Source organism: Homo sapiens, chromosome 19 (genome assembly GCF_000001405.40).
Source record: "Homo sapiens chromosome 19, GRCh38.p14 Primary Assembly".
Lineage (NCBI taxonomy): Eukaryota > Metazoa > Chordata > Mammalia > Primates > Hominidae > Homo > Homo sapiens.
Window position 1 is genome coordinate 12163037 of NC_000019.10, and position 27843 is coordinate 12190879.

At 44.4% G+C, this 27843-nt stretch overlaps 1 protein-coding gene across 3 annotated transcripts, besides 1 other annotated feature; it reads left to right on the forward strand.

The window, feature by feature from the left end:
* Positions 1-160: an enhancer, noted in NCBI's record as "active region_14046". NCBI's record gives its function as "activates an Ori minimal core promoter by ATAC-STARR-seq in GM12878 lymphoblastoid cells {active_cell/tissue: GM12878}" and the evidence as "EXISTENCE:reporter gene assay evidence [ECO:0000049][PMID:35858748]".
* On the forward strand, positions 60-26835 carry ZNF136 (zinc finger protein 136). Of its 3 annotated transcripts, NM_001348014.2 has the most exons (5): positions 60-170; positions 6246-6355; positions 22749-22875; positions 23078-23138; positions 23534-26835. In NM_001348014.2, exons 3-5 carry the CDS (start codon positions 22842-22844, stop codon positions 24963-24965), a joined length of 1527 nt encoding a protein of 508 aa, NP_001334943.1. In that variant the 5' UTR covers positions 60-170; positions 6246-6355; positions 22749-22841; the 3' UTR covers positions 24966-26835. The 3 variants fall into 3 exon arrangements, with proteins under 3 accessions (NP_001334943.1, NP_003428.1, NP_001334942.1); NM_003437.5 differs by lacking the exon at positions 6246-6355; NM_001348013.2 differs by lacking the exons at positions 6246-6355; positions 22749-22875.

Consider the following 27843-nt stretch of genomic DNA (forward strand, 5'->3'; position numbering starts at 1 on the left):
ACGTTCAACCTTCTCGCGGGATTTTCATTTCTCGCGTCTGCCGTACTTGGTTTCGCTTCGCTAGTCCCAGAGGCCCAGAGTGGCTCGCCTGGAGTCTCTGTGGCGCGGTTTCCTGTACCTGCCTTGGGATCCGGAGGGAGGAAGCTGGGACACCCGGGAGTCAGGAAATGGTGAGTGTGTCGGGCCCTGCGTCCCGAGACAGGGAGGAGGGGCTGGTTGGACGACCGGAACTGGCTGTGGCGCGGCCCGGGCCTTCCCGTGGGCGACTCTGGGTCTGCGTACCGAGTCCCTCTGGCGCAGCTCAGCCCTTGGTACCCTCGGCCTCAGGGTGGGGCTGGGCCGGCAGCCGGGACCCCGGGCGTCCTCGTCCCGCCCTGTGCCGCGATTGCGGCCCCGGCCCCGAAGACCCAAGTCTCTTCAGATTGTGCGGGGCCCACGCGAGGGTCATGGGGTGGGGGAAATCCTGACTTGTGCGTGGAAGGAGCTGTGGTGTATGAGGTTCCCAGTTCCTTTTCTCTCCACAGAGGACACCCGTTTTTCCCTGAGTTTTCTAAGTGTATGGGATGCAGGGTCCCAAATCCTCACTCTGTCCCCCAGCCTGCTGTTTCCAGGGCTTGCAGTAAATCCCCAAATTTCCTGTTCTCTTTTCGCTTTTCCAAACGCCAACCTCTCCCCTTCCATTCACGACATTAGCAACCGTTTCTCCTATATTCTACATTTCAGATATTGTGCTTTCATTGTTTATTTTTCAACAAAGCAATGGATTACTCTTTCATCAAGGTTTGTTTTCTGTTCATAGCCTTGACACTCCGCTGTAAGAAACCTTTGTGCTTGTCCTTTTGTCTCCTCTATGCACAGATACCTCATCAGAATGTCTTTGAGTTGAGGTTCCCCTTTGGAATCTTTACAGGGTGATATGCCTTCAGCGCCCCCTCCTATTTATTTTTTCCTGGTTCTGGGTTTCAAAACTGTCTGGGGCTGACTCAAGCTGCCCACAGCTGCCAAGTCTCTTGGAGGATCTAGTGAATATTGGGTCTTGGGTGAGTCTTCCTAGAGGACAGTTGAAATAGAAGGCTGGGAGAATGCCCTGGGACTAGGATAAATCTAGCATACCCTGCTTCTAAATAGCCAACCTCTGGGGGCACTCAGCTTTTCCTCCCCCAACCCCAGTTTCCATCCTTTGGAGACACACTGGTGGTCAGCCAATCAGATGCTGGTATTGAGGATTGAGAAAAGAAAATTTTTTGTGTGTTTTGAAAGAGTCTCGCTCTGTCGCCTAGGCTGGAGTGCAGTGACGTGATCTCGGCTCACTGCAACCTCCATCTTCTGGGTTCAAGCGATTCTCCTGCCTCAGCCTCCCCTGTAGTTGGGACCACAGTTTTGCGCCACCACTCCCAGATAACTTTTTTTTTTTTTTTTTTTTTTTGAGACGGAGTCTCTCTGTCGCCCAAGCTGGAGTGCAGTGGCGTGATGTCGGCTCACTGCAACCTCTGCCTCCCGGATTCAAGCGATTCTCCTGCCTCAGCCTCCCCAGTACCTGGGACTACAGGCGCATGCCACCACGCCCGGCTAATTTTTTGTGTTTTTAGTAGAGACGGAGTTTCACCTTGTTAGCCAGGATGGTCTTGATCTCCTGACCTCGCGATCCGCCTGCCTTGGCCTCCCAGAGTGCTGGGATTACAGGCGTAACTGTACCCGGCCTCAAAAAAATAATTTTCGTCTGATAAATGTGGGTCCTTTTAAATGAACGGGCACATAGAGACATTCAAGTGATACAGCAATCACCTTCTAACTCCCTGAAGCTATGAATTCATCTTTTGAAACTGCTATTGCCACAAGTAGGTATAATCAACTTACTAATGCAACACGGGACCCTGGAACCCACACCCTATAGCTTAACAGTGCATAGCCACGCGCTTATCAATGTTACTTCTGTAAATCAGTGAGAATTCCTGACAAACAACTTTGTATCAGCCCACATCCTGTCCCCCTTTTTCAGACACTTTGGGTCATATTTTGTGTTTCAGCCTCTACTTTTTAGGTCGACAAGGGAAAAGACGGAAATGATTCCTGTCCTTTGTATTCTCTCAGCCTTGTGAAGGGAGAAAAACTATCTCAGCGAGGTGGTGGAATAACCTGAAAAACAAAATGCACTTTGGGTACACAGTGTCGCGTAATGCAGTGTCTCTTGGGCGGGTGGTCACTGAGCATTTCAGTGAGCACTATGGGGGTAGAGGGATGTTCCAACTGATAGATAAGATGACCTCTGCTGACACTGGAGTCAGACGAATGTCTGTATTCCAGGTCAGCACTGCTTCTCCCTGGGATTCTTGCCTTAACAACAAGTTCAGCTTGAGTATTTCATTTAGTTGAAAGTGCATTTTATCAGTAGAGCTTCATAGAGAAGATAATGTATTTCCCAAGAGGTAGATTTCAGGGGGAAAGAGATTAGTCTTATATTCCACATTTTAAAAATTCTTATTTTCAACGGCTTGTATCTGTATTTCTCCATATTTTGGAGTAATTATCTGCATGATATGTGTAGGTGCTGTGGCTTTTTACCTAAGAAGCAGAATCTCATTCCAGTACATTTGAGAGTCATGATGCCAAATCTTTGATGGTCTGTGTCAGAGACACAAAGTCTACAATGTGTGTGTTCACAGTGGTGTGGATTTTATGCCTCAAGTCACTTAGAAAAGTGTCTTAGAAAACCTGGACAGTGCCCTTGTGTCTTCACAATAATTCTTTTGTGTATTTATGGAGATGATTCTGTAATCTTTTGGGACATGGACCAATGTGTATCTCTTCATACTCATATTCTGCACCATCTGTATGTAGCACGTCAGACTTAGCGGTGTGACCTTAAACTTTTTAAAAGAAACTGGAAGGTCAATAAAATTTAAACTGCTGGCTGGGTGCGGTGGCTCACGCCTGTAATCCCAGCACTTTGGGAGGCTGAAGCAGGTGGATCACCTGAGGTCAGGAGTCTGAGACCAGCCTGGCCAACCTGGTGAAAACTCGTCTCTGCTAAAAATACAAAAATTAGCCAGGTGTGGTGGTGGGCGCCTATAATCCCAGGTACTCAGGAGGCTGAGGCAGGAGAATCACTTGAACCCAGGAAGTGGAAGTTGCAGTGAGTTGAGATCATGCTATTGTGCTCCAGCCTGGGTGACAGAGCAAGACTCCGTCTCAAAAAAAAAAAGAAAAAAAATTTAAACTGCTTAACAACAAATTCTTATTTTCTTTTATTCTTTCCCAGATCATGTGTAGTATATGTGTAGTATGTTTGTCAGATCTGTGTTCTGTTGGGTGACTTGAAATGGAATTCCAGGGCTTAACCTTGAGAATATTATCAGGGAAAAGAAATGGGGGTGGGGAGAACCAACTCTCCTATTATGGCTTCAGAAAAATGAATATAGTTTCCCAAGAAAGTTAGTAGATAAATTGGGGAATTACAAAGATTCACCAAAACATCAATTTCTCTTGCAAGGTGGAGAATTTGTGACGGTGAATAACTGTTCTGTTTCCTGTTATTGGAACTTAGCAGATTCTAAATCTTAGGGAACAGGACCTGGCAACAACTAGGAATCCTCTAATAGGATTTTTGTTTACTAAATGATTTGTTATCATAGAAATAGTAGTTAAGTGACATCTTTGTCTGAAAATAGTAGATTCTTGTGCTTTTTCTGTTCAGCTATGATGTAAATGTGCCTTAATTTTCTTCCCTCCCATAAACATTAAGATTGATTTTGCTGGATTCATCAAACATGAGTCATTAAACATGGGTATTTTCTTTAAATATCCACATGAGGTATGTAAAGGGAAGTGGGTAGCCTTGACTGGGGTGCAGAGGCCTGAGGCCAGCGACTCCAAACTGAGGCCAATCCAAAGGAGTACTGCATAAAGGAAGGCACCAATCAAATATAAGATCTGCAAAGATCTGAAAGTTTAGGCAGAAAAGTGTTTTCTTTCATAGGAAGGGGCAAACAGATTAGAAAGAAGATGAGGAGGAAGAAGGCAGGATGGAGGGTGCAAAATCAGACCTAGATCAGAACATGTTTTATTCTGAGGTTATTCTGTTCTTAGGAAGTGTTGCCTATTTGTTCAGGCTGAGAGTGGGTCAAAGTTAAGGGCCTGGAGGAAATTTACAAGTCAAGGGCTTGCATCTGTAGTTCTCTATATTTTGGAGTAATTATCTACATGATATGTGTAGGTTCTGTGGCTTTTCACCTAAGAAGCAGAATCTCATTCTAGTACATTGAAGAGTCATGAAGCCAAATCTTTGATGGTCTGTGTCAGAGACACAAATTTAAGGAATGTTTGGTTAACAAATGTTTTGTTCCCACTGATCAGTGAAGACAAAACTGTTCAGCTAATGTTTTATGAAGCAAAGAATGGGCATTTGTAGACCTGATGCCATGGCTCACGCTTGTAAGCCCATCACTTTGGGAGGCTGAGGCCAGAGGATAGCTTGAGCTCAGCAGTTTGAGACCAGCCTAGGCAACATTGCCAGACTTTGTCTCAAAAAAAAGAAAAGATAAGACCGGGTGCGGTGGCTCACGCCTGAAATCCCAGCACTTTGGGAGGCCAAGACAGGCGGATCACCTGAGGTCAGGAGTTCAAGACCAGCCTGACCAACATGGAGAAACCCCATCTCTACTAAAAAAAATACAGGTGCCTGCCACCACACCCCGTCTCTACCTAAAACCTTTGTACAAAAGGCAAAAGCATCTAAGTCTGCCCCTCAGAGACTTTCCCAATTTGTACAGTTTATTCTACAATTAAACTAATTCTGTGAAAGCAAAGCCAAACTGCTAATAATGTTGAGTTTTACTCAAGCCCTATAATCCAGTTAAATAGATATGGTCATAGAAATCACTGCCTTGTTAACCACTCAGTTCTTTCTGTTTTGCAGACGCAGACTCATGCAAAGATACCTTTTCCATTACTTCACGGCCTTTTTTTAAAAAATAAAGCCAGATACTGACTACAAATGCCCATTTTTTTTTCTTTTCTTTTTCTTTTTTTTTTTTTTTTTTTTTTTTTTTTTTGTGAGACGGAGCTTCGCTCTCATTGCCCAAGCTGGAGTGCAGTGGCGCGATCCCGGCTCACTCTGATCTCTGCCTCCTGGGTTCAAGCGATTCTCCTGCCTCAGCCTCCCAAGTAGCTGGGATTATAGGCGCACACCACCACGCCTGGCTAATTTTTTATATTTTTAGTAGAAACGGGGTTTCACCATATTAGCCAGGCTGGTCTCCAATTCCTGACCTCAGGTGATCTGCCTACCTCAGCCTCCCAAAGTGCTGGGATTACAGGCATGAGCCACCACGCCCCCGACAAGCCCCGTTTTTGATCACAGTAAAGGGGGAGAGGCTGGATATTGAGTTCTGTTAATGTAAAAATTCTGGAATGAAGACATTCGGAGAGCTTCCTGGTTGGTGAACGCAGTGATGTTCTAGGAGGGTGGTACTCAAGTCCTGTAGGGAAGGGGGTCCTATACTCCCTTCCCTGGAGGGTCTAGTGAATATTGGCCCTTGTGTGACTCCTCCCAGAGGACAGTTGAAGTAGAGGGCTGGGGCCTTCCAGGGGACCCCCACTTCCCTGGTCATATATATCTTTTCCATTTGGCTGTTCTTGGGTCATCCTTTTTTTTTTTGAGATGGAGTTTCACTCTTGTTGCCCAGGCTGGAATGCAATGGCAGGATCTCGGCTTCCTGCAACCTCCACCTCCCGGGTTCAAGCGATTCTCCTGCCTCAGCCGCCCAAGTAGCTAGAATCACAAGTGCCTGCCACCAGGCCCGGCTAATTTTTTTGTATTTATAGTAGAGATGGGGTTTTACCATGTTGGCCACGCTGGTCTCGAACTCCTGACCTCAGGTGATCCACCTGCCTTGGCCTCCCAAAGTGCTGGGATTATAGGGGTCATTCTTTAAAACAAACTGGCAAACTTGTGTTTTTCTGAGTTCTGTTAGTAGTACTAGCAAATTATTGAAATTGAGGAGCGTTTGTTGGATTTCTATGCAGTTGGTTAGAATTAAGGGTGCCTCCACTCCTCCCTGCTGTACCACCCTCCCAGCACATCAGGGCCGGGACTGGCATCTGCAGTGGGGGCTGTGTCCTGGGGTGGGCCCTGGACTTGTGGGGTCTGGGCTAATGCCAGGTGATGTCAGAATTGAATTACTGGATCCCCAGCTGGTGTTGGAAAGTTAGTTGATACTGAGCAGTCTCCACATATTTGTTGTCAGAAAAAATGACATCACAGGTCAGAACCTTACATCGACTTGGTGAGTGGTTGCTGGTGAGAATTAAGACCCTGGAGGAGGGAGCATTTCCACACTGAGAAGGGGACAGTAGGGTGAGTAGTGCTCTGCGGATTATATTTTCTAATTACTCAAATATTCCTCACTCATTGCCTAGGAGAAGCCACTCTGAGCTACATCTCCACAGTGAGAGTGTAGTAAACTTTTGAATGTGGGTAAAGGTAAACAAATAAGCCTTGGGCATTTCTGGCATGTCTCCCTAATTTCATCCTCCTTCTCTGTACCCAGAGGTGACCACAGTACTGATTCTGAATTTTTTTTTTTTTTTTTGAGACGGACTCTCGCTCTGTTGCCCAGGCTAGAGTGCAATGGAGCGATCTTGGCTCACTGCAAGCCCAGCCTCCCGGGTTCATGCGATTCTCCTGCCTCAGCCTACCGAGTAGCTGGGACTTACAGGCGCCCGCCACCACACCCGGCTAATTTTTTTGTATTTTTATTTTTATTTTTATTTTTTTTGAGACAGAGTCTCTCTCTGTCCCCCAGGCTGGAGTGCAGTGGCGTAATCTCGGCTCACTGCAAGCTCTGCCTCCCGGGTTGACGCCATTCTCCTGCCTCAGCCTCCCAAGTAGCTGGGACTACAGGCGCCTGCCACCACGTCCGGCTAATTTTTTGTATTTTTAGTAGAGACGGGGTTTCACTGTGTTAGCCAGGGTGGTCTCGATCTCCTGACCTCGTGATCTGCCCACCTTGGCCTCCCAAAGTGCTGGGATTACAGGCGTGAGCCACCACGCCCGGCCATTTTTTTGTATTTTTAGTAGAGACGGGGTTTCGCTGTGTTAGCCAGGGTGGTCTCAATCTCCTGACCTTGTGATTCACCCACCTTGGCCTCCCAAAGTGCTGGGATTACAGGCGTGAGCCACCGCGCCCGGCCTTTTGTGGTTTCTTTGCCTCAGTCCGTTGCACACATGCTGCTGTCTGAGGCTGTGGGTCACCCAGGTTACTAACCATTCCACTGCTTGATTTGAGTTGTTAGTATTTTATCTGTTGCCAATGTAATTGTTGTTTTTGTCTCCAAGTGCTAATGCTTCATAAACTTCTTTTTTTTTTTTTGAGGCAGGTCTTCTTCTGTTGCCCAGACTGAAGTGCAGTGGTGCAATCACAGCTCACTGCAACCTTGGCCTCCCAGGCTCAAGCAATCCTTCCATCTCACCCTCCCAAGTAGCTGGGACTACAGGCGTGTGCCACATGCCTGATTAATGGTTGTATTTTTTTATAGAGATGGGGTCTTGCCATGTTGCCCAGCACTCAAACCCTTGGGCTCAGCACTGGGATTATAGGCATGAGCCACTGTGCCCAGCCATGCTTCATAAATTTTTTTTTTTTTTTCGAGACGGAGTCTCGCTCTGTCGCCAGGCCAGGCTGGAGTGCAGTGGCGCGATCTCAGCTCACTGCAACCTCTGCCTCCTGGGTTCAAGTGATTCTCTTGCCTCAGCCTCCCAAGTAGCTGGGATTACAGTCACATGCCACCACACCCAGCTAATTTTTTTTTTTTTTTTGAGACGGAGTTTCACTCTTGTTGCCCAGTCTGGAGTGCAATGGCAAAATCTCAGCTCACTGCAACCTCTGCTTCCCAGGTTCAAGTGATTCTCCTGCCTCAGCCTCCAGAGTAGCTGGGATTATAGGCATGCACCACCACGCCCGGCTAATTTTGTTTTTTTAATAGAGACAGGGTTTCTCCATGTTGGTCAGGCTGGTCTTGAACTCCTGACCTCAGGTGATCTGCTTACCTTGGCCTCCCAAAGTGCTGGGATTACAGGCATGAGCCACTGCGCCAGGCCCCACCCAGCTAATTTTTTTTATTTTTAGTAGAGATGGGGTTTCACCATGTTGGCCAGGATGGTCTTGATCTCTTGACCTCGTGATCTGCCTGCCTCGGCCTCCCAAAGTGCTGGGATTACAGGTGTGTGCCACCGCACCTGGCTGCTTTGTAAGTTTTTTATACATTGGAAAAAAAAATCCCTGGGATGTAGCTTATAGATAGATTGACTTGGGAATGCCAATGGAATATATGGATTAACCATCTGACCATGTATGCATGTGTATTTACTCCTTATAAGTAGTTCTCTTTATTTTTCTCTGTGTGATTACATGTTGCTTTTTACACTAGGATTGAGCATTTTTTCTGTGTGGCCTTTCATCTTCTGTAAAATAGTTTTCAGTCATCTTGTCACATTAAAGTCATTTGTATATTTATTGCTTCATTTCTTCCCTTTTTTCTTTTTTTAACTTACTCTGTAGGCTAATTCTTTTTCATTTATAGGGATTGCTAATATTTTGTTCCAGGGAGTGATTTATCTTTTCACTCCATTCTACATTTTGATGGACTCTTAAATTTTTTTGTTTGTTGGCTTTTTTGGCCGCCTTCTGCATGCACCATCATCAAGGGTGGGGAAGGGTACTCTTCTTGATTTTAATTGAGTTGACTTTGGCTCTTCCTTTCAGGCCTACTTAATTTTCTTGTAAGAGAACATTCTAGAGAGTGTATATTTAGGGCAACTTGAATCTGTGCTCCCAGGTTAAATAAAGAACACTCTCCCTACTGTCAAGTTGGAAAAAAAATTGTAACTTATGAAAGTTTGCTACTTTTTAAAATTTTAAAATTTTTTATTTTCTCTCTCTCTCTTTTTTTTTTTTTTTTTGGAGACAGAGTCTCGCTCTGCCACCCAGGCTGGAGTGCAGTGGCATGATGTTGGCTCATTGCAGCCTTCGCCTCCTGGCGTCAGGTGTTTCCAGTGCTTCAGCCTTCCGAGTAGCTGGGATCGCAGGTGTGAGCCACCATGCCCGGCTAATTTTTGTAGTTTTAGTAGAGACAGGGTTCCTGACCTCAAGTGATCTACTTGCCTTGGCCTCCCAACATGCTGGGATTACAGACGTGAGCCACTGTGCCTGGCTGCTTTTGTTTTTAAGAGGTTTGTGTTTTTCTGATTTGATCTTGTTTATAGCTGGAGACTGGCTAAAACTTTATCCCTGTCCTGGTGTGGCTCTGGGGGATTTCTTGGAGGATATTTAAAATGTGCCTTTCAAGGGATATTTCTTCATTCTGTTGGAGGGCCTGATGCCTAGATGTTATACCCATGACCAGGTGTCCCTCTCACAGCACACTTGTTTATACTTGCTCTGTACAAGCAGGCACCTTGTAGATCTTGTCTGACCATTGTCAGTTTAATCCTAGACTAGAGTAGCCACTAATCCGGTATCTATTAGTGGCTAATAAACACTACCACTCTGTTCCTACCAAGAGAGCCCCGATTATGATAGTAGTTAGGTTCAAATAGTAGTCAGGTGTGTCAGTTAGGCAATTAGGTGAGACTCGGAGGAGACAATTCAACAAACACAGGAAATAACAGAAGGAGTTTATTACTTATAAATCCCAGAGGCCGGCTGTGGTGGCTCACGCCTGTAATCCCAGTACTGTGGGAGGCTGAGGCAGGCGGATCACGAGGTCAGGAGATCGAGACCATCCTGGCCAACATGGCGAAACCCTGTCTCTACTAAAAATACAAAAATGAGCTGGGTGTGATGGTGCGTGCCTGTAATCCCTGCTACTCGGGAGGCTGAGGCCAGAGAATCACTTTAACCAGGGAGTCGGAGGTTGCAGTGAGCCGAGATTGCGTCACTGCACTCCAGCCTGGCGACAGAGCCAGACTCCATCTCAAAAAAAAACAAAAAAATTCCCGGAGAGAGGAGAGTAGCATGTCTTGTAGGCCAGCAGGTAGGTGGAACTATTTGTGACACATACCCTCAGCCTGTCAGTGGGGAGCAAGGGAAAGAGAGGGAATTGTGGGCCAAATCCTTTATTGGGGTCCAAGGTGTTACCTAACCCAATTTCTCTTCAGGAGGTTTTAGTTGGTGTGTTTAGAAGAAGGAAGCACAGAGGCTAAGAAGAGTCAGCAGACAGGCCTTATTGGTTTTCCCACTCAATCTATTAGTATTAGTCCATACTCTTTTTGTCCAATTGCAGTTCTACGGGGTGTTCCATACTTTTATCATTCCTATTGAATGACGTCTGTATAAAACGCCATGCTTTTATCATTCCTATTGAATGATGTCTGTATAAAAGGCCCAAGAGGATAGGGTATGGGGAGCTTCTGGACAGCTGAACTCAGGGAGTCTTGTATTATAATAGGAAGGTGATCAAGAACTCATCCTCATGCCAGGAGCGAGTCATACTGTAACTCTACCGGAATGGAAGCTCCTGTGCTTGGGACCCTTGTAGACTTTGCCCTATGCTTCTCCACCTGGCTGTTTATTTGTAGCCTTTAAAATAGCCTTTATAATAAACTTGTAAACGTGTTTTCCCGAATTTTGTGAGCTGTGTTGGCGAGTTAATTGAGCCAAAAAAGGGTGTTATGGGACCCTCAATTTGAAGCCTGTTGGTCAGAAGTTCCAGAGGCCTGGTCTTGCCACTGCTGTCGGATGTGTGGGGTCAGTCTCGTAGGACTGAGCCCTCAACTTGTGGCATCTGCTGCTGTCCCCAGGTAGATAGCTTCATAATCGAATCGGTTTGGCAGGCACCCAGCAGCTATATGCTGCACAATTGATTACTTGCCTTTTTTTTTTCTTTTTGAGACAGAGTTTCACTGTTGTTGCCCAGGCTGGAGTGCAATGGCATGATCTCGGCTCACTGCAACCTCTGCCTCTCGGGTTCAGGTGATTCTCCTGCCTCAGCCTCCCCAGTAGCTGGGATTACAGGCATGCACTACCACACCTGGCTACTTTTTTATTTTTAGTAGAGATGGGGTTTCTCCATGTTGGTCAGGCTGGTCTCAATCTCCTGGCCTCAGGTGATCTGCCCGCCTCGGCCTCCCAAAGTGCTGAGATTACAGGCGTGAGCCACCACATTTGGCCAATTACTTGCTTTTTGATGTGGAGAAATCCCCACACAGTTGGTCACAGAAGCCTTTTGTGTTGATAGTTGTGGTGTGAGGGGAATAGCAAGGTGTGTTTTTTTCACTTAGATGATATGCAGAGGGTTGAATATTCTCTTGTAGATAACCATTTGTCCCTGTCCCTGTGTCGAAGTATCTGTAATCTCTATCCCTGCCTGACAGTGCCTGCTCTGTCACAGGTTCTTGGGCCTTAAATAGATGCTCTTGTTTCAGATTTTGCTATTTTTCATTGGTCTGTCTGTCTCTCTGGTAATACCATACTCTCCTGATTACTACAGATTTCAAATCCTCGATGTATGTTAGAGAAAGAACCTCCCTATCTTAGTCATTTTTGCCTGCTGTAATAAATAACCACAGACTGGATGCCTGAAACAACAAGCATTAATTTCTTTCTTTCTTTTTTTTTTTGAGACGGAGTCTCGCTCTGTTGCCCAGGCTGGAGTGCAGTGGCACCATCTCGGCTCACTGCAAGCTCTGCCTCCCAGGTCCACGCCATTCTCCTGCCTGAGCCTCCCGAGTAGCTGGGACCACAGGCGCCCACCAACACACCCAGCTAATTTTTTGTATTTTTACTAGAGACAGGGTTTCACCATGTTAGTCAGGATGGCTTTCTTTTTTTTTTTTTTTTTTGAGACGGAATCTTGCTCTGTTGCCCAGGCTGGAGTACAATGGTGTGATCTCAGCTCACTGCACCCTCTGCCTCCCGGTTCAAGCTGTTCTCCTGCCTCAGCCTCCCGAGTAGCTGGGACTACAGGCGTGTGCCACCACGCCCAGCTAATTTTTTGTATTTTTAATAGAGACAGTGTTTCGCCATATTGACTAGCTCCAAGACAGAAAGGCAGAGTAGATTAGAGTGTATTTTTGGTTTCTATGGTCTGCCTTGCAGAGAAAAAAGAGCAAGTGAAAGGAGGTCAGTTGAAGGGCAGAGAGAAAGATTCTGTTTTCTTTCGATTTTTTTTTTTTGGGGGGGACAGAGTCTTGCTTTGTCACCCAGGCTGGAGTGCAGTGATGCTATCTTGGCTCACCGCAACCTCCACCTCCTGGGCTGAAACGATTCTCCTGCCTCAGCTTCCTGAGTAGCTGGGATTACAGGCCTGCATCATCACACCTGGCTAATTTTTGTATTTTTAGTAGAGACAGGGTTTTGCCATGTTGGCCAGGCTCGTCTCAAACTCCTGACCTCAGGTGATCTGCCTGCCTCAGCCTCCCAAAGTGCTGGGATTACAGGTGTGAGCCACCACACCCGGCCTTATACTTTACTTTTTAGAGTAGTTTTAGGTTCACAGCAAAATTGCACACATAGTACAGAGTTCCCTTATGCCCCCTATTCCCACTCAGTCACAACCCGTCCAGCTATCAACATTCTGCACCAAAGTTGTACATTTGTTACAATTGAACCTATTTTGAGACATTATTGTCATCCAAAGTCTAGCCTACATTAGAATTTATTCTTGCAGTTGTACATTCTGTGAGTTTTGACAACTATACAGTGACATTTCTGTTATGGTGTAATACAGAGTAGTTTGATTGTCCTAAAAACCCTCTCATCCACCTATTTATCCCTCTCCCCCTGACTTCTGGCAGCCACTGATTTTTGTACTGTTCTATGATTATGTCTTTTCTGCAGTGTTACATAGTTTGAATCATACAGTATGTAGTCTTTTCAAAGTTGTTTCTTCCACTTAGTAATAAGCATTTGCGGGCATGTGATCATGAAATTTTTTTTAAAAAGTAATACGCATTTAAGGTTCTTCCACTACCTTTTAGCTCATTTATTTTTAGTACCTCCATTGTCTGGAGGTAGCTGTTATGTATCCATTTGTCTACTGTAAGGCATCTCAGTTGCTTCCAAATTTTGAAAATTATGAATAACGCTGCTATAAACATCTGTGTACAATTGTTTGCCTGGACCTAAATTTTCAGCTCATTTGGATAAACCTACCTTTGGTCTGGAGGTTAAGAGACACCCCTGTGCCACATGGGATGGGTTGTAAAGAATTCACTCTGAAAATCAAGTGAATGTGGGCCTATGATGAGGTTTGTGTAAAACCCCTGTGTGTGTATGATCTCCTGATTCAATGAGTACTTTTTTTTTTTTGAGATGGAGTTTCGCTCTTGTTGCCCAGGTGGGACTGCAGTGGCGGGATCTCGGCTCACTGCAACCTCTGCCTCCTTGATTCAAGCGATTCTCCTGCTTCAGCCTCCCGTATAGCTGGGATTACAGGCGCTTGCCACCACACCCAGCTAATTTTTGTATTTTTAGTAGAGATGGGTTTTCACCATGTTGGCCAGGCTGGTCTCAAACTCCTGACCTCAGGTGATCCATCTGCTTCAGCCTCCCAAAGTGCTGGGATTACAGACGTGAGCCACTGCGCCCAGCCTTTCCATGAGTATTAATCTCCTTTTTTGTAACAGATCTCCTAGTGGGTGCTGCGTTAAACAGAGCTGAACAAATAACCCTATCTGCCTGAAGCAGGGTGGGAGACAAGAAACAAGATATAAGTAGAATATGCAGTGTGTCAGATGGTGCTTAGTCCTAAGGAGAGAGAGAAAGCTGGGGAGGAGTGGAGAGGCCTGGGCTGTGTTTGTCTCTGCAAGCACCTGTTTATGTCTCTGAGGTGTTATCTCTGAGGGTTTGTGTGTCTACCTGGGTATGGCCACCTATATGTGCAGTGACAAAGTGTGAGTGATTTTGTATGTCTGATGGGGAGACAGAGGCTGTGTTTGTATGCCCTTTAAAATCTGGAATGCTTTTATTTCATTTTCTTGCCTGATTGCCCTGGTAGCATCTTTTAGCATGTTAAATAGCTGTGTCAAAAACAGACATCCTTGTCTTGTATTTGATCTTAGGGGGAAACATTCAGTGTCACCATCAGTATGATGTTATAGTGGGGTTTTCATGGATACCTTATTTCAGGTTAAGGAAGTTCCCTTCCATTTCCAGTTTACTGAATGTCTTCATGGTGGAAGAGGTATTGAAAGGATATTGACCCTTGTCAAATGTTTTTGATACTGATTCTATTAATATTGTGATTTTCAAATGTGAAAACAGTGTTGCTTTTCTGGGCTACGTCCCACTTAAGTATAGAAGTTTTTGTTTGTTTGTTTTTGTTTTGAGACGGAGTCTCGCTCTGTAGCCCAGGCTGAAGTGCAGTGGCGCGATCTCGGCTCACTACAACCTCTACCTCCCGGGTCCCAGTTCAAGCAATTCTCCTGCCTCAGCCTCCTGAGTAGCTGGGATTACAGGCACATGCCACCATGCCCAGCTAATTTTTGTGTTTTTAGTGGAGATGGGGTTTCACTATGTTGGCTAGGCTGCTCGTGAACTCCTGACCTCGTGATCCACCTGTCTTGGCCTCCCAAAATGCTGGGATTACAGGCATGAACCACCGCACCCAGACTTTTGAAAAATCTTTTTGGTAACAGTCATTCTCGCAGGTGTGATGTCTCATTGAGGTTTTAGTTTGCATTTCCCTAATGATTTGAGATGTTAAACATTTTTTCATGAATGTCTTTGTCATTTATATTTGCTCTTTTCAGAAATGTCTGTTTAGATCCTTTGCCCATTTGAAAAATTGGAGGCCAGGCCCAGTGGCTCATGCCTATAATCTCAGCACTTTGGGAGTCTGAGGCAGGTGGATTGCCAGATCTCGGGAGTCTGAGACCAGCCTAGGCAACATGGCAAAACCTCATCTCTACCAAATATACAAAAAATTAGCTGAGCATTGTGGCATGTACCTGTGGTCCCAGCTACTCCCAGCTGAGGTGGGAGGATGGCTTGAGCCTGGGAGGCAGAGGTTGCAGTGAGCCAAGATTGTGCCACTGCACTCCAATGTGGGTGTCAGAGTGAGACTCAATCTCAAAAATAAATAAATAATAAAAGTTTTAAATTGGATTGTTTTCTTGCTATTGAGCTGTTTGAATTCTTTATATATTTTGGATTTTAACACCTTATCAGATATATGGTTTGCAAGTATTTTCTCCCACTCCGTGTGTTGCCTGCCTTTCCACTCTGTTAATTGTTTCCTTTGCTGTGCTAAAAAGCTTTTTAGTTTGACATCCACATCCACAATGGTGCTGTCAAAAACAGCTACATGGGAACTTGTTTATGTACTCTTTCTGCAGTGTCTGGTTTCACCCAGAACTCTTTTGTGAGATTAAGCACCTTCCTCATATCAGGAAGATTGTGGGTCTTTCCTATTATTCACAGCTGAATCCCTGAGTTAGGTTTGATTGTATGTGATCAAACATAGTATGTATTATTTCCTCAAGCAACATTTTTGGACATGTTTCTTAGAAATAGTTTACTAACTGGTTTCGAACAGCATGTATGCTAACAAATGTTAATGTCTTTTTCATTTGCTGCTAAGTTATATAAAAAATTCCATTGCAATCATGGATCAGATCAACTTTATAATAAACTTTATAATTTTGTGGCGTTATTTGTTAAATATTGTGAATCAGGCGGGGAGGGGTGGCTCACGCCTGTAATCCCAGTACTTTGGGAGGCTGAGGTGGGTGGATCATGAGGTCAGGAGATCGAGACCATCCTGGCTAACACGGTGTAACCCTGTCTCTACTAAAAATGCAAAAATTAGCCGGGCGTGGTGGCGGGCACCCATAGTCCCTGCTACTCGGGAGGCTGAGGCAGGAGAATGGCATGAACCTGGGAGGCGGAGCTTGCAGTGAGCCGAGATCATGCCACTGCACTCCAGCCTGGGCAGCAGAATGAGACTCTGTCTCACAAAAGAAAAAAAAGAAAGAAAGAAAAAAAAAAAAGAAAAATTGTGAATCAATATTCTGTGCATACAATTTTAGGTGTGTTTTTTTCACATAAATTTTCATTTTCATGCTCATGTAGTCACAGTTTTTATCACAAGAATTATTTCTCATTCACTTATGATACCAAAAGTTAAATCAAGCTTTTAACCTTTTTCCAAAGATTATCAGGACCATAGCTCCTGTCAAAGAAGGTATAAAAAAAAGTCATCATAAATATGATAGTAAACCATACGTGACTGTGTGGTGTATCAATAGGAGAGCGCTCAAAAGAATTTCTTTTTTTTTTTTTCTTTTTTTTTTGAGATGGAGTCTCACTCTGTCGGCCAGGCTGGAGTGCAAGTGGCACAGTCTGGGCTTACTGCAACCTCTGCCTTCCAGGTTCAAGCTATTCTCCTGCCTCACCCTCCTGAGTAGCTGGGATTACAGGCACAGGTCACCATGCCTGGTTAATTTTTGTATTTTTTATAGAGACGGGGTTCCTCCATGTTGGCCAGGGTGGTCTCGATCTCCTGACCTCAGGTGGTCTGCCAGCCTCGGCCTCCCAAAGTGCTGGGATTACAGGCGTGAGCCACCACACCCAGCCCAAAAGAATTTCTTCTAGGACGTGTGCTTGCTTCAGGTGTATTGATTGCTATTCAAAGCAAGAAGCTTCTCTGGATTGTATACTATGAAGAAGCAAGGTTATTTCTGGCCTTGGTTATTATGATAGTTCTTACCCAGAAGTAAAAAAGATGGAGTGGCGCTAAGTTTATTACCTAAACACTGAAATATTTCTTATGATGAATTAGACATGGCTTCCCATAAGATACCTCAGTTGAAATATATAAATTCTAACTATTGATAATTTTTTTTTTTTGAGACAGAGTCTGGCTCTGTTGCCCGGGCTGGAGTGCAGTGGCGCAGTCTCGGCTCACTGCAAGCTCCACCTCCCGGGTTCACACCATTCTCCTGCCTCAGCCTCCCGAGTAGCTGGGACTACAGGTGCCCGCCACCACACCCGGCTAATTTTTTTGTAATTTTAGTAGAGACGGGGTTTCACCATGTTAGCCAGGATGGTCTTGATCTCCTGACCTCGTGATCTGCCTGCCTCGGTCTCCCAAAGTGCTGGGATTACAGGCGTGAGCCACCGCCCCCGGCCAACTACTGATAATTTTTAAAAGTCTCCCTTATTAGTCAAATTAGGCTAATGCCTCTAGGAAAGTTGTCAGAATATAAACCTAGCAAGGGACAGAGACATGATCACTATTCTAATCAAGCCTCTCTTGCTCAGATAATATGCTCTTGATGCTAATTTTTCAATATGCCTCATATGCCAGAACTGTAGACTCAGAACATCCAGAATTAAGCACAAATGATGCAGGCACTGAAGGCTCTGATATGGGAACACAAAGTGAATAAATTCTTGAAATCCTGGTGCTTATATTTTTGTGAGAAAGGAGAGGGGTTGAAAAAATGGTAAGACTGGTTTATAAGAAGGAAATAAGCACTTTGAAGGAAAGTAAATGATGGTGTGAGATAATACGGAAGCTGAGGGTGTGTGTATATGTTCTCTGTGGAGGGTGGCAACATCAGTGAGTGAAGAAATGTCACCATCGGTCATTTATATTTCCACCTCTTATACATCTTCAGCACCATTTCAGGAACTGCTTAAGTGTGGATGTAGATAGTGCATAGCAATATAGACAGTCCTGCCTTTTTGAGGTTAACAATAATGATTCCCCGTAAAGATATAGGTATGGCTTATTGTCATTTTTGCATTGGTTAAAAATTTTAATGCATGTAATATGTGATGCTGACTTTGGACATGGGTATCTGGAACCTGGAGGAAGGCACACCACTGCATACGGTGTGTGCTAGAACCACGTTGGATCCCTGTTGAAACATCTTAAGTGTTCTGCCCCTTAAGCCACAGGGGCGGAGCCTGAAGTTATATCCAGTTAGGGGTGCCAGGATGGCATCCTACTTATTGTCCAATCAGGCGCGCCTCAGAGCCCTGTCTGCCCCCAACCTCACCCCACCCTGTACGATCTTGTGGTGAATTTTCTTTTCTTGAGCTGGCTGCATTACCTTTCTTCTGGCTCCTGGCTCCACTGCCCTGGCTCTGTGCTCTGTGCTGGCCGTGGTAGCCGGAGGGAGGACCCAGGAGACCCCGAAGATGGGAAATGGCGAGTGTGGGAAATGGCAAGTGTGCAGGGGCCTGGGGTCCGACATGGCTGGAGGGGCCCAGGCCTCCTCGCCATCAGCATCCGATTCTGTTTCATCTGAGTTGCTCAAATGTGTGGGAAGCAGGGTATCAAATCCACCCCCGGCCTAACTCTCCTTGATCTGGCAGCAAACTGCTAAATTGTAGGTATAATTTCTGCAGTCCCCAACACCAGCTTCTGTTCTCGGATGCACAGTGTTATCAACTATTTGGTTTTTTTGTTTTGTTTTGTTTTTGCATTTGTTTTTGTTTTTTTTTTTTTGGTGGAGTCTCATTCTGTCGCCGAGGCTGGAATGCAGTGGCGCAATCTCCACTCACTGCAATGTCCGCCTCCTGGATTCAAGCGATTTTCCTGCCTCAGCCTCCTGAGTAGGTGGGATTACAGGCACCTGCCACCACGCCCAGCTAATTTTTTTTGGGGGGGGACAGAGCCTCACTGAGTCGCCCAGGCTGGAGGGCAGTGGTGTGATCTTGGCTCACTGCAAGCTCCGCCTCCCGGGTTCACACCATTCTCCTGCTTCAGCCTCCCGAGTAGCTGGGACTACAGGCACCCACCACTACGCCCGGCTAATTTCTTTGTATTTTTAGTAGAGACAGGGTTTCACCATATTAGCCAGGATGGTTTCGATCTCCTGACCTCGCAATCCGCCTGTCTCTGCCTCCCAAAGTACTGGGATTACAGGTGTGAGCCACCGCGCCCGGCCATTTTTTTGTGTTTTTTAGTAGAGATGGGGTCTCACCGTGTTGGCCAGGCTGGTCTCGAACTCCTGACCTCAAGTGATCTACCCACCTTGGCCTCCCAAAGTGCTGGAATTACAGGTGTGAGTCACCATGCCCAGCTGACTATTTGTCCTTCCTTCTCCATTAGAGAAAGATGTCATATTTTAAGTTTATCATTTTTGCAGAAGGCAGTGGATGACAGTTTTATAAAGATTTCTTTTATGTTTGTGACCTTTTCGCCTGAGAGGTAAGCAGAGAATAACCACCTGAAACTCCATTGTGAAAAAGCTTTGTGTCTCTCTTTTATCTTCTCTAAGTGCAAACCCTTATCAGAATGCCTTTGCATTGAGGTTCCCCTTTGGAAACTTTGCAGGGTTGATTGCCCTCAGCCTGTCCTCTCTTTTCCTGGTCCTGGGGTTCAGAACTGACTGGGGCTGCCCCAAGAAGCCCATAGCTTCCATGTCTCTTGGAGGGTCTAGTGAGTATCAGCTCATGTGGCCCCTCAGGGGAGCCCCTGGATGCCTTGGACCTAGAAGCAGTGACATGGTTTACTCTTCCTCTGAAAAGCTCACCTCTTGGGACACTCAGCTTGTTTTTCTCTAGCCCCAGTTTTCATTCTTTGGAGACATGTTAGTGGTCAGCTAATTGGATGGCAGTATTGAGGGGAAAGACAGAAAATGATTCTTGCCCTCTGGATTCTCTCAGAGTACTTGAAGGGAGAAAAATGATCCCAAAAGACAAGGAAAACCCACCTCTGCCAGGTTATGCAAGAACTTGAAAAGCAAAATGCACTTAGGCATGGGGGTGGGGGCACAGTCCACTGTCTCTGGGAAGGGTCGGTGAGCAGCACTTTAGTGACAGGATGGGGGTTGGGGGGATGTCCCATGTGATAGGATGACCTGACTGGGCAGTTAAGTCAGATTTCTCTGTGTTCCAGGTTAGAGTGGCCTTCCCTGATTTTGTCACCTTAAGAAGATTTGTTTACTTACTTCATCATGTAAAATGTATTTTACCATTAAAGCTTGAAAGATAGGCTAAAATATTTCCAAAGAGATGAGAGGTGTATCTCAGAAAAATAAATATCTACCCTTATATTTGTTAAAAATTTGTATTTAATTTTTCCCCCCAGAACATATATGCAGTAAGTTTCTCAGGTCTGTTCTTTTTTGTGATTTTGTTGTTGTTGTTGTTGTTTTGTTTTTTTTTGGTTTGTTTGTTTGAGACACAGTCTGGCTCCAGGCTGGAGTTCAGTGGCACAATCACGTCTCACTGCAACCTCCACCTCCCCGGTTCAAGCAATCCTCCCACCTCAGCCTCCTGAGCAGCTAGAACCATAGGTGCAGGCTACACGACTGGCTAATTTTTTGTAGAGATAGGGTTTCACCATGTTGCCCAGGCTGGTCTCAATCTCCTGAGCTCAAGTGATCCTCCTACCTTGGCCTCCCGAAGTGCTGGGATTTTAGGCGTGAGCCACCACTCCCAGCTCCTTTTTTGTGATTTCAAATAGAATCCTAGAGTGTAGCCTTGAGAAGGCTACAGGGAGAAAAAGCTCAGAGAAATAGGGAGAATCACTCTTCATTATGGCTTCACATAACTGAATCTATCTATCTATCTATCTATCTATCTATCTATCTATCTATCTATCTATCTATCTATGTTTATCTTGAGACAGGGTCTTCCTCTTTTGCCCAGGTTGGAGTGCATTGGCACCCATCATAGCTTGCTGCATTCTCATACTCCTGGTCTCAAGCAGTCCTCTCACCTCAGCCTCCTGAGTAGCTGGGACTACAGGCGTGCACCACCACTGCTGGCTAATTTTTAAATTTTTCTGTAGAGATGGAGGTTCTCACTGTGTTGCCTAAACTGATGTTGAATTCCTGGGCTCAAACAATCCTTCTGCCTCAACCTCCCAATGTGATGGAATTACAGGTGTGAGCCAGTTCACCCGGCCACTGATACATTTTGATGAGAAAGTAGGTAGATAAATTGGTGAATTCACCAATTTATTTTCACCAATTTAGTGAAGATTCATCAAGCTGGGTGTGGTGGCTCACGCCTGTAATCCCAGCACTTCGGGAGGCCAAGGCTGGCAGATACTTGCGGTCAGGAGTTTGGGTCCAGCCTGGCCAACATGGTGAAACCCCATCTCTATTAAACATACAAAAATTAGCTGGGTGTGGTGGCACGTGCCTGTACTCCCACCTCCTCGGGAGGTTGAGGCGGGATAATCCCTTGAGCCTGGGAGGCAGAGGTTGCAGTGACCCAAGACCCTGCCACTGCACTCCAGCCTGGGCGACAGAGCAAGACTCCATCCAAAAAAAAAAAGAGGGCTGGGTGTGGTGGCTCACGCCTGTAATCCCAGCACTTTGGGAGGCCGAGGTGGGCAGATCACGAGGTCAGGAGATTGAGACCATCCTGGCTAACATGGTGAAACCCTGTCTGTACTAAAAAATACAAAAAATTAGTCAGGCGTGGTGGCAGGTGCCTGTAGTCCCAGCTACTCAGGAGGCTGAGGCAGGAGAATGGCATGAACCCGGGAAGCGGAGCTTGCAGTGAGCCGAGATCACGCCGCTCCAGCCTGGGCAACAGAGAGCCAGACTCCGTCTAAAAAAAAAAAAAAAAAGGTAAAAAATCCTTCATTAGTCTCATTTAGTACTTAATTATATTTGATCTGCAGGATAGGTACAAGCTTGCAAGTATTCTCTCTTAGTATAATAACAGAAGATGGGCTTAATTTTCCCAGTAACCAATTGTGAGAACACATGCGAAATGCTTCCTGGAGTGTTTCTGGGGGCTCATCAGGTGGGCACTATGTGTTGCGCGTGTAACAAATTCCCAAACTCTCAGAAGGTGGGACGCCAGAAATTTTCATATTTTTTCCATAAAGAGTTTAGGCACCGAGCTACTCTTACATAGGTCATTGGGCTCCTTCCCCAAATCCGTTTCCCAGATACCAGGAATGGATGTGATGCAGGACAGGTGCGCCCTAAAATTGGGGCTTATCCCAGGATGGTTTCCAGCTTTGCCCAGGGAAGAATTCAAGGGCAGGCCAGTGGTGTTAGATAACAGTGTTTTATTTAACAGTACTGGTCTTTGTGGATCAGTGCTAACTCATAGGCAGTACACCCAGAGTCAGCAACATATGGTCTCTTGGCAACTATATTTATACCCACTTTCAATTATATGCAAATTAAGTGGTGGGTTATTTAAAACTTTCTAAGGAAGGAATGATAACTTTCAGGTCATTGCCATGGCATTTGTAAGCTGTCATAGCATTGGTGGGAGTGTTTTATGCTAATGAGCAGTGAGAGCATCTAGAGATCGCTGTTCTTGTCGTCTGCTGGTTTTGGCCCCTTTCTTTACTTTATCCTACCTGTGCCAGATCTTGTTTTGGCCAGTAGGGTTGTGATCAGAATACAAGTCCTGTTGGTCTCCTACCTCAGATGAATGTTGTGAGGAGTGAGGAGCCTTTTTTTAAGGGTAAGCAGTCTCAGGACTGCTAATATAAACTCTTTTGCATAGTAGGTGGTAGGACTTCGTTATGACAGGTTCTACAGGTCCACTGTATGAGCAGACATTAGCTGGGACTCAGGCAGCACGTATTACTCCTTGCAACCACCACCAAGAAAGATGATCAGACACTGCTATTGTTCTACCCGATAGTTCCATTCTAGTATGAGAGTTGCTGTGTGGAAGGAAGTGAGTATGATGACCAAACAGTGGAGTAAATGTTTGCAGACCCCTGAAACATGTGAACTTCTTATGAATTGAGTACAGCTCCCCAGCCCTGTCTGTCTCACCCATTCTCCTCTCCACATATGTGGGATGTTTCAGGACTCGGTGGCTTTTGAGGATGTAGATGTGAACTTCACCCAGGAGGAGTGGGCTTTGCTAGATCCTTCCCAGAAGAATCTCTACAGAGATGTGATGTGGGAAACCATGAGGAATCTGGCCTCTATAGGTAAGGATTGTATACTTCCATCACTTAGCAATTAAAGAAGAAGTGCTTCTTGTGCAGTGATGCTGTTCCATGGTTTGCATCATGGAGGGAGAGTACTTGGGGGGCTAAAACAGGCATAGTCACAGGGTATCATGAACCTAGAATCTAATAATTTTTCTATAATTTTGCACTAATTCAGAATTTTTCTGGGTCTCTGTTTTAGGGAAAAAATGGAAGGACCAGAACATTAAAGATCACTACAAACACCGAGGGAGAAATCTAAGGTAATTTGTACTCAGAGAAAGCAAATTCACTTGAAAGTACCTTAGCATGTCATGAAATTTTAAAAACAGGCAAACATAACTGATAAGCCAAGCTTCAAATTGATTTATTTTTTGAATATTTTCCCCAAATACATATTCTTCAGTGTAAACAGATGTTCAGTTTTTATAAAAATGTTCATTTGTCAACAGAATTAAGAAACTATTTAAGAATATCACTGTTTGAGTGATAGTTGCGGTCAAGCCCATTGCAGAGCATTGAATTCATTCATGCTCAAACAAATCAGACTTGGCATCGAGTCTACGCTTTACCTGATAATATTGAAAATGCAAGTTTAATAGCTATTAATATAAAATGATTAACAAATCCTTAGTAATGTCCGTCTCATTTTTTACAGAAGTCATATGTTAGAAAGACTCTATCAAACTAAGGATGGTAGTCAGCGTGGAGGAATTTTTAGCCAGTTTGCAAATCAGAATCTGAGCAAGAAAATCCCTGGAGTGAAACTCTGTGAAAGCATTGTATATGGAGAAGTCAGCATGGGTCAGTCATCCCTTAATAGACACATCAAAGATCACAGTGGACATGAACCAAAGGAATATCAGGAATATGGAGAGAAGCCAGATACACGTAACCAGTGTTGGAAACCCTTCAGTTCTCACCACTCCTTTCGAACACATGAGATAATTCACACTGGAGAGAAACTCTATGATTGTAAGGAATGTGGAAAAACCTTCTTTTCTCTCAAAAGAATTAGAAGACACATCATCACACACAGTGGATATACACCATATAAATGTAAGGTGTGTGGGAAAGCTTTTGATTATCCCAGTAGATTTCGAACACATGAAAGAAGTCACACTGGAGAGAAACCCTATGAATGTCAGGAATGTGGAAAAGCCTTCACTTGTATCACAAGTGTTCGAAGACACATGATAAAGCACACTGGAGATGGACCTTATAAATGTAAGGTATGTGGGAAACCCTTTCATTCTCTGAGTTCATTTCAAGTGCATGAAAGAATTCACACTGGAGAAAAACCCTTTAAATGTAAGCAATGTGGTAAAGCCTTCAGTTGTTCCCCAACCTTACGAATACATGAAAGAACCCATACTGGAGAGAAACCTTATGAATGCAAGCAGTGTGGGAAGGCCTTCAGTTATCTCCCCTCCCTTCGACTACATGAAAGAATTCACACTGGTGAGAAACCCTTCGTATGTAAACAATGTGGTAAAGCCTTTAGATCTGCCAGTACCTTTCAAATACATGAAAGGACTCACACTGGAGAAAAACCTTATGAATGTAAGGAATGTGGGGAAGCATTCAGTTGTATCCCAAGTATGCGAAGACACATGATAAAACATACTGGAGAAGGACCTTATAAATGTAAGGTATGTGGGAAACCCTTTCATTCTCTGAGTCCATTTCGAATACATGAAAGAACTCACACTGGAGAGAAACCTTATGTATGTAAACATTGTGGTAAAGCTTTCGTTTCTTCAACATCAATTCGAATACATGAAAGAACTCATACTGGAGAGAAACCCTATGAGTGTAAGCAATGTGGGAAAGCCTTCAGTTATCTCAACTCCTTTCGAACACATGAAATGATTCACACTGGTGAGAAACCCTTTGAATGTAAGCGATGTGGTAAAGCCTTTAGATCTTCTAGTTCCTTTCGACTACATGAAAGGACTCACACTGGACAGAAACCCTATCATTGCAAGGAATGTGGGAAAGCCTATTCTTGCCGTGCCAGCTTTCAGAGACACATGTTAACACATGCTGAAGATGGACCACCTTATAAATGCATGTGGGAAAGCCTTTAATGCTCTGGGTTCATGTCAGATACATTAAAATACTCACTGAAGAGAAGCCCTATGAATGTAAGTAACGTGGGAAAGCATGAAATTCTGTCAGTGCCTTTTTTAATACATGAAAGAATTCTAGAGAGAAGCCATATACATGTAAGTAACATGGGAAAGCTTTCAATCATTTTAGTTCCTTTCAAATACATGAAAGAACTCATCATGGAGAAAACCAAACAAATGCTTTTTGGAAAGGAACCCATATTTGAGAGAAACCCTGGGTAAAGGGTGTAGGAAAGGTTTTGTCATCACACAACCCTGTCACACATGAATGTGTAGTGGAGAGAACCTTGGTAAATGTAAAGAGTGTGGGAGAGCCTTTAGTCATTTTAGTTCCACTTGAAGCCATGAAAGAACACACAAAAGAGAAAGCTCTTGAATATAAGCAATGTCCACACGTTTTTAGCCAGCCCACATGCTTTCAACAACATGTAAGAATGTACCCTGGATCAAAACACTATAAATGTGAAAACTACAAGGAAGGTTTTCCATTATACTTTTAAAGTCATTTGAGGGCTCTGGCTCTGTGGCTTTGTGGGTTAAAGTACTTGTCTGGCAAACAGGAGATGCTGGATTTCAATCCCAGCAGGGCCTCACTAGTTGAGGTATTGAATTTGAACAGATGTTTTGGCTCTGGCTGGGTGTGGTGGCTCACACCTGTAATCCCAGCACTTTGGGAGGCTGAGGCAGGAGGATCACTTGAGGTCAGGAGTTTGAGACCAGTGTGCAAAACATAGCAAGACCTCATCTCAGAAAAAAAAAAAAAGTCATTTGAAAACTTCTAATACAGCAAAATCCTATAAATGTAAGTACTTCAAAAAGCCTCATGCATAGCGGGTCATGTAGTCTCTAGAAAATACATAACCTGATGGAAATGTAGAAGCTATATGTATATTTTGTTAATTAGTGGCTCATATTTAAAATAGTTCTCTGACTATGGATTTCAAATGCTTAATCTCACAAAGAAATGTTAAATTGATATAATCCTGTAAGTAATCTGAAAGCAATAGTGCATGAATTTCATAGGTAGTGTTGTTTTAGGTCAGTAAATAAAATATTTGTCTTTCCATTTTGAAATGTGTTTAATCCAACAATGAATTTAAATGTGTTTCTCATATTCAGGTATGTTAAATTGTATATGGTTGCTTAATTGTTCTGTGATTGAGGACCACTGAAAAATAAGTCTTAATAAATGTTGGTATGAACCTACTTGCTTCATTTAGCAGGTTCTTGATTCCCTTTCCACATTATATACATTCCATCATATTTATTGGAACAGCTCCTTTTTTTTCCTTTTTTCTTTTTTCTTTCTTCTTTTTTCTTTTTGAGACAGGGTCTCGCTCTGTGCTCTGTTGCCCAAGCTGGAGTACAGTGGCATGATCTCGGCTCATTGCAACCTCTGCCTTCTGGGTTCAAGTGATTCTCCCACCTTAGCCTCCTAGGAAGCTGGGACTACAGGCATGTGCCACCACACCTGGCTAATTTTTTGTATTTCTAGTAGAGATGGGGTTTCACCATGTTGGCCAGGCTGGTAGAACTCCTGACCTCAAGTGATCCACCCACCTCAGCCTCCTAAAGTCTGGGATTACACGTGTGAGCCATCACACCTAGCCCATTTTTTTTTTCTTGGCTCAAATAATTTTATTTTGCTTCCTATTAAAGAGTTGTTGTTAATTCTAAGTATGTAAAGTTTATCACAGACTGTAGTCTCGTGAATTATTATTTTAACCTGTTGTTCTTTACTCCTTGTTATTTATTCTGGCTGCTCTTTGTATAATTGATTTTGGGATAAGGAGACAGCTATGATAGAATAATAAAATCTAAAATGGGAGATGCCTTTCATGGATTGTGTCATGTCAATCTGGGTAATGGGAACTAAACTTTTCAGACTTCATTTCTTTCTTTCTTTCTGAAATAGGGTCTCACTCTGTCACTCAGGCTGGAGTGCAGTGGCACGACTGTGGCTCACTGTAACCTCAAACTCTGGAGCTCAGGTGGCCTTCCGACCTCAGCCTCCCAAATGGCTGGAACTATAGGTATGTGCCACCAAGCCCAGCTAATCTTTTTATTTTTGGTTTTTCATCTTTTTTTTTTTTTGTAGAGATGGTGTCTTGCTATGTTGCCCAGACTGGTCTCAAACTCCTGGCCTCAAGTCACCCTCTAGCCTCAGCCTCTTAAAGCACTAGGATTACAGGCATAAGCCACTGTGCCTGGCCCAGAATTTCTTTCTTTCATGGTTACCTGTAGACTGCATCAATAGCCTAAATTCCTGGAAGTTTAGAATGCAGAAGTGAAGAACGCATTAGTCAGATTTTGGAGGCATCATACGGAGAGACAGATGCATATGGGCTGTTTGGACATGGTCATCTAGCCCATTTTCCTGATTCTTTGCCCTGCCAATCAAGAGTATCCTCAGCCGGGTGTGCTGGCTCACACCTGTAATTCTAGCACTTTGGGAGGCCAAGGCGGTCGGATCACCTGAGGTGAGGAGTTCGAGACCAGCGTGGTCAACATGGTGAAACCCCATCTCTACTAAAAATACAAAAATTAGCTGGGTGTGGTGTCGCGTGCTTATAGTCCCAGCTGAGGCAGGAGAATCGCTTGAGCCAGGGAGGTGAAGGTTGCAGTGAGCCAAGATCATGCCACTGCACTCCAGCCTGGGTGACAGAGTACAGAGTAAGACCCTGTCTCAAAAAAAAAAAAAAAAAAAAAAAAAAGAGTATCCTCTAATCCACCACTAGCTACTTCACCTCCATGTTCTCAAAGTTATGGATTTCCATAGATGTTTTTAAAAGCTTCATATCAAAGATTCAGCTGCCATTTGGATATTCCTGAAGGC

Coding starts and splice junctions, on each gene's coding strand:
- ZNF136 (NM_003437.5), top strand. Junction 22,876..23,077: donor GAGGAATCTGGCCTCTATAG/GTAAGGATTGTA, acceptor TCTCTGTTTTAG/GGAAAAAATGGAAGGACCAG. Junction 23,139..23,533: donor CACCGAGGGAGAAATCTAAG/GTAATTTGTACT, acceptor CATTTTTTACAG/AAGTCATATGTTAGAAAGAC.